The sequence below is a fragment of the Homo sapiens genome, chromosome 1 (genome assembly GCF_000001405.40).
Source record: "Homo sapiens chromosome 1, GRCh38.p14 Primary Assembly".
Lineage (NCBI taxonomy): Eukaryota > Metazoa > Chordata > Mammalia > Primates > Hominidae > Homo > Homo sapiens.
The window spans coordinates 43,057,923-43,064,923 of NC_000001.11; the positions used below are offsets into that span (position 1 = coordinate 43,057,923).

The 7,001-nt window shown below is 48.9% G+C and overlaps 1 annotated feature.

Annotated features, from left to right (window-relative positions):
• Window positions 210-745: an enhancer, noted in NCBI's record as "H3K4me1 hESC enhancer chr1:43523803-43524338 (GRCh37/hg19 assembly coordinates)". NCBI's record gives its function as "activates a minimal SCP1, AML or CMV promoter by ChIP-STARR-seq in primed H9 embryonic stem cells {active_cell/tissue: H9 hESC(primed)}" and the evidence as "EXISTENCE:reporter gene assay evidence [ECO:0000049][PMID:30033119]".

The following is a 7,001-nucleotide window of genomic DNA, read 5'->3' on the forward strand; positions in this document are numbered from 1 at the left end:
TGGTAAAATGACAATTATGTCAATGTTTATAGTGGGGTTGGTATAAGGAGGTGTTGTTGGTCAAAATGATTTTAATGATGCTTCGTGTTGGTGATAATGGTGGTATTGGTGTTGGTGTTAGTTACAGTAATGTTTTTAATGGTATTGGTGACACCTGCCTGTCTCAGTAGGTGACATTGATGGAAGTGCTAGTCGCATGGGTGCTAGTGTGATGGTGAACTTGATGGTAGTCTTGCAGTCATGGCTGATGGTAGTGGCAGCAGAGGTGGTGTTCCCAGCGATAATGGCAGTAGTAGGGAGGGTGGTGGGAAGTCGGTGGTGGTAGCGGTGGTAGAGGCCGAGATGATGACCAGGAGGTTGGGGATTACACGGAGAGCGGTACGGGTTCTGGCAATGATACCCTTAGATACCGTGAGTCGACTGCAAGCTCTCTTCTCTGGAGCTGACAGCATGCTGGACGTGGGGAAAAAGGCTCACCACATTCTCCAAAAGCCCTTCTTTCCACCTGCTGCAATCCTGGTGAGGTTTAATTCTCTGTGCAGGCAGAGATGGCTGCTTTCTGGGGGTCTGTGGGGATGGTGCTGAAAAACAGGTCTGTTGCTGGGAAAGTGGACAGAGAGGGAGGCTCAGGATTGCTGAGCTGGAGGGTGCTTTAGGGGCAGGTCAGCAGGAACGAGGCACGTGAGGGTGTGCTGATGGATGGCAGGGGCCGCGCTGGGGCTGGGGCTGGGGCGGCAGGGAGGCAGTGGTGGCCGGCGTGCAGGGGCTCACGTAGCTGGCAGAGCCAGGGCTGTACTTCCTGCTGACTCAGCAGAGCAGGCAGGAACTGATTCTTTTCGACTAATGTGTCTTCTCCCAGGATTAGCTCATACCGCTCTGGCTGGGAAAGGGGGAGAGGCAGCCTCTCCCATCTCCCCAGGCTTAGGGGCCCTTTGGAGGAGAGGGCAGGCAGACTATGGGGCCCCAGCAGGACCAGTAACTGACTCTGTATGTCCTCGATCTCATTCTCAATGGGCTGCCATTTGGCTGGCAGGGAGCCAGCTCCCCAAATATCAAGGGATCTAGCTACCCTACCCCCACCCAAACCCAATCCAAATGGCTGCCCAGTTCTGCTTCACAAAAGGTCTACCCTGCCCAGTTCTGCTTCACAAAAGGTAGCATAGCCTGGGGGTGGAGAGAGTAAACTGGAGTCAGACTGTCTAACCTCCTTCGCCAGGTCTCCCATGTGTTAGCTGTGTGACTGTCTGTATCTTGGTTCATCATTTGTGAGTTAGGGACAATGACTGCTGCCCAGAGGCTGTTGTGGGGATAGATGAGTTAAGCCTACAAAGTGCTTGAATAAGGTCTGGCATGGAGTGGGTATTCAAAAAGTGTTTGCTGTGATTGCTACTACTGAGTGTTCAATAACTTTAAGCAAGACTCTTAAGCTCTCTGAGACTCAGTAGTCTCACCAGTAAAATGACGATAATTTCTTAACATGCATACTTGATATGAGAATTAAAATGGATTAAGTGGATGAAAGCATCCAGTACAAAGTAGCACATCAGTTATTACTATCTTTGTTGTCGTTAGCACAGGGGCCAGCTTCAGCGTCCTTCCTGGAGTGGAAGTGGGGGGTTTGAGTGTCCTATTGGGGTTTGGATCCTTAAGAGTGTGCTATCTTGTGATCGCTGCCTCTCCGCAAGAGAAGTAACTCCTCGTGAGTGGGAAGATTTGAGCAGATCAGCAGTTCAGTTTGTAGCCTCTTGCCCCCCACCCCTAGCCCTGCTCAGTACTCATGCCCTGGGTAGGGATCAAGAAAGAAAGAGAAGGTTCTGGGAGCATCCTCCTATCCTGAAATTTCCGTGGAATCTTTTTTTTTCCATTTCTTCATCCTAGCTCCCTTTCTTTCTCTTTCCTTTCCCTTCCTTGTTCACCACTCATTCATTCATTCATTCGTTTATTCATTCATTCATTCATTCATCTATAGGACATAGAAGTCATGGGGTCTGCCCTGGAGAAGCCTCTAAGTTCCCACTCTTAGGGAGAACATGGCTCAGGCTCCAATCAGGGCTTCATTACGTGATTCTGTGCATGCAACAGAGGGGCGGGGATGGCACATCAAACGAAAATTCAACTTTCTCTGCATTAAGGAAAACTATCAACAATGATGCTGTGTAGGGACTGTAAAACCAACATCTAAACAAAAGAACGACTGTCTAACTAGTTGATTGCCTCAACTGTAAAAGAGATTAAAATGGTACACTTCCACGGATGTGGTTTTTTGTTTCTACTTGTTTGGACTTCAAATGCATAGAGTCGAGCAACTCACACTCCTTCCTCCGTGCTAATGTAATTTTTCTCCCTCTTCCCAGATTCTCATGCTCATTCCTTACTCCTTTACTCACTCTAGGAATCCACTCCAATGTGTTTTAAAATGTGCCCTTAAAATATGTTTGTCTTTATAAAATATGCATTTGGTTAACAATCAGTTGCACAAGTGCTTCTTGTTTATACCTCACCATGATGTAGCACAATTGACTCCTCCACATACCACTGATGCTCACAATGATCCATGTCCAGCACTGGGTACCAGATCAAGCTATGAATTTTACAAGGCCCATGTCCTTGAGTTGCTCACAGGCTAGGGAAATAGACAATTTAGGACAGGGTTGGGACACAAAGGAGTCAGTGATCAATTCTACTGGTGGGGCGGGGGAGGGCTTCCCAAGGGCAGAGCCACCTGAGCAGAGCTTTAAAAGGTGAATAAGGCCGGGCACGGTGGCTCACGCCTGTAATCCCAGCACTTTGGGAGGCTGAGATGGGCGGATCACCTGAGGTCAGGAGTTCGAGACCAGCCTTACCAACATGAAGAAACCCCGTCTGTACTAAAAATACAAAAAAATTAGCCAGGCATGGTGGCACATGCCTGTAATCTCAGCTGCTCGGGAGGCTGAGGCAGGAGAATCGCTTGAACCCAGGAAGGCAGGAGAATCGCTTGAACCCGGGAGGCAGAGGTTGCGGTGTGCCAAGATTGTGCCATTGCACTCCAGCCTGGGCAACAAAAGCAAAACTCAGTCTCCAAAAAAAAAAAAGGGCTGGGGGCGGTGGCTCACATCTGTAATCCCAGCACTTTGGGAGGTCGAGGCGGGCAGATCGCAAGGTCAGGATATCGAGACCATTCTGGCTAACAAGGTGAAACCCCGTCTCTACTAAAAATACAAAAATTAGCTGGTCGTGGTGGCGGGTGCCTGTAGTCCCAGCTACTCGGGAGGCTGAGGCAGGAGAAAGGCGTGAACCCGGGAGGTGGAGCTTGCAGTGAGCCGAGATCGCGTCACTGCACTGCAGACTGGGCAACAGAGCAAGACTCCTTCTCGAAAAGAAAAAAAAAAAAGGTGAATAAGAGCTCACTAGGTGTATAGCAGGGAGGAGGAAATGGGAAGAGGTGCTCCAAGTAGAGGGAGCAGTATATGAAAAGGGTTGGAAGCATGTAGCAGCTTAGCATGTCTAGGAAATTGAATGATTTTGTTGTGGCTGAGGCAAATGGTATGAAAAGGAAGGGCAAGAGAAAGCAGCTGGCATTTATTGAGTGCGCCAGATGCTGTTCTCAGTGATTAAGTACTGAATTTCTTTTAAGCCACACAACAACCCTAGGCATTGTGAAAAGAAATTAAATTTTGGGACCCCAGATGCATTTAGTCGAAGGGAAAAGTCAAGCTGGGAACTGGATCATGCAAACCTGCCTCCCACTTTTAGTTCCTAAGTAAGATGGCTGGCCAGGCACAGTGGCTCAAGCCTGTAATCCCAGCACTTTGGGAGGCCGAGGTGGGCAGATCACCTAAAGTCAGGAGTTCGAGACCAGCCTGGCCAACATGGTGAAACTCTGTCTCTACTAAAAACACAAAAATTAGCCGGGTGTGGCTGCAGGCGCCTGTAATCCCAGCTACCAGATGAAAAGGTACCCATATTTTGCCCACAAGGAAATTCCTAGTGAGCTGTTAAAACTTCACAATGGCAATGCATATTGGTAGCTTATCTTTACAAGGCAGTCACCCCAGCCCACCAGACGTAAATGCATATCTGATTGTTCCCCTACCCCATTGTGTCTGTGTTATCTTATGTAAAATGCAGATTCCTCCCATTTTTCCTCTGCCCCTTTGTTTATGTCATCTTACCTAAAAAAGATGCAGATTCACTTACAGGAAAACTGTGTACTTCTCAATATCCCACCCTTTCCCCTTTAAATTGGGAGCCCTGAAAATCATCTTTGAAGAAAGGCGTAAAGCTGTCTCCCAGGTGTGTCCTTAACTTTGGCTAATCAATCTCCTAAAATGATTGAGACTCGACTCGTTATTTTCCTCAATTGACAGAGTGTACTATTATCATTCCCATTCTACAGGAAAGGAAACAGAGGGCCAGAGAAGTTAGTAACTTGCTTACAGTCACGTAGCTTATAAATGAGGTACCCAAAACTGCATCAGGCTGCCTGGGTTCCTAATCACAATGCTATGACCTCCAAAAGATGACGAAGGTGAGGAGGTCAGAGGTGAGGCTGCAGAAGACCTTAAATGCCAGTTGAGGGGCAAGGAAGAAGGCAACAGGAGGCCCTGAATCAGAGCCTGAGTGCCATTGAGCTGAGTGAGTGTGAGTGACCACAAGTGTGCATGAGGGTGCACATGCTACAAGCGCGGTGTATGGGTGAGTGCGTGGGTGTGCTTGGATGCGTGCATGTGCTTGGATGCATGTGAGTGTGCCGCGGTGCACATGTCTGTGCCACAATGTAGGACACACGTGTCTTTGTGAGACTAGGCGAGTGTGCATGTGTATGAAAAAATCTGCGGTTGTGCACGGGTCTGAGCATGTGTCTTTGTGGGTGTGAGTGTGGGCCTTGGTCTTCCTGCCACCTTGGGGCCCCATGGAAGCTGTCAGAGCCCATCAGCCTGGCCTGGTGTGAGAGGCCTGGTCTTGGCCTCAGATGCTAGATGGGCATACATCAAACGCAGCCTGAGCCTGGGACCAGTGGGGTAGAATAATTTAATGAGAATCCAGAAGGGAGGCTGCAGCTGGTGGGGAGTGGGAAGGGGGGCCCATTTCTGCCCAGTGCAGCTTCCGGGTTCCAGAGCCCAGCATCTGGGGTCTGTGTGTGTTCTGGGAAGGGAAGATGGCTGTGTTGGGTGCCTGGCCATGACCCCCTCCTGCTCCATGCAATGGCAGAACTGCATCTAATCTGGGTATGCCAGGACACCAACTAGTCCTGGTGTTGTGCCTCCTGCCTGGACACCAACCTAGTCCCCAGGTGTCCCATGAGACTTCAGGGGAACCAGGACACAAAGTCCAGCATTTTCATCTCTAAAGCTGTTCTGACATTTCCATGAGATGGAACACATAGAAAATCACTTCTAGACCAACTAGTCCAACCCCCTTGCCTTACAGAACGGAAACCGAGACTCAGAAAGGGGCAGGGAATTGCCTAAGGTCACCCAGCAAAATTGAGTTTGGACCAGGCTTAGAACCAAGAAATTCTCAGTTGGCATCCAGCGACATTTTCACACTTTTAGACCAAGATCAACAACACATATAAACATTAGCAAAATGCAAGGTTGTTTATTTGATGGCCTCTGCCTCTATGGCCTGGCCACTCCTTTCCTCCCAGGCTGCCCACCTCTGCAGAATGGAGGCCGCTTCCCCAGTGCCCACAGCCAGAGGTGCTTTGTGAGGAAGGCCAGGGACAGGGCTGACAGAGCACTCTTTATTCTCCCCTTGGATGGAAGTGTGTGTGTGTGTGTGTGTGTGTGCGCGCATGTAGGGGGGTTGCCCTTTTGTGCTGGCCTTAGGTCAGAGAGAGAAATGTGAGGGGACCCAATTTAGTCAGTTTTTCTATCTAAGATGTGGGTAGAAAAAGGAGGGATTTTGCTCCGGAGTAGGAGAAGGGGTGAAAATGACGTGCCCTGGCCAGGACACAGTTGTGATAGGGCAAATCAAAACTTTGTCCTTGTCCTTAGTATCTTGGGCAACACACACACTGTCCTGTCATGTCCAACAGTCACAGTGTGAAAGATTTTTTCTGGGAGGTTCCCATGACAACTGTCGATTCATGGCAAGAACCTTCCACAGGTCTTAGGCCACCTACAGAGCTGGGCTCGGACTCCTCAGCTCCACCTGCAAGTCTTCTCCAGATTCTAGGATCTAGATTCCGGAGTCCAGAACCTGGGGCGCAATTCAAGGTCTATTGCTGAACCTAGTCCACAATTCAGGTTCTGTTTTTTTTCTGGTTGCCACAGGATTGAAAGATTTTGTTGTTGGTGGTGGTGGTGGTGGTGAGGCAGGGTCTCACTCTATTCTGGAGTGCAGTGGTGTGATCAGATCATAGCTCATTGCAGGCTCAAAGTCCTGGACTCAAGGGATCCTGTCACGTTAGCCTTCTGAATAGCTGAGACCACAAGCACGTGCCACCACACCAGGCTAATTTTTATTTTATATTTTTAGTAGAGATGAGGTCTTGCTATGTTGCCCAGGCTGGTCTTGAACTCCTGGGCTCAAGTGATCCTCCTTCCTTGGCCTCCCACAGTACTGGGATTATAAGTGACAAATACTCTTAATGTAAAAGCTTTCGACAGGGCACGGACTCTCCTGTTAGAAACAAACATCACTACTCCCTATTAACCTATGCCCTCCATTTTTACTCATCTATATTACCTTCCTGGCACCTGAAAGCACTTAAATTTAGGACCCTTGAGCCTGAGCTCCTTGAGGGACCAGGTCCTTGTTACATGCCATCATCTAGCACACAGCAGATTCTTGGTAAATGTTTACTGAGTGCTTGACTCTAATTGGCCTCATCTTCTATACCTTCACCCTACCCTCTACTTCAGTTCACACTTAAGCTGTTCTCTGAAACATTTTTCTCTCTGCCTCAAAAGCTTTTTGGTGAACCCCTACTCACCCCTCAAGAAACTGCTTAAGTGGCCTCACCTCTGGTCCAACTTGTCTGCTTCCTGCCCAGCGTTCATCTATTAGAAGAT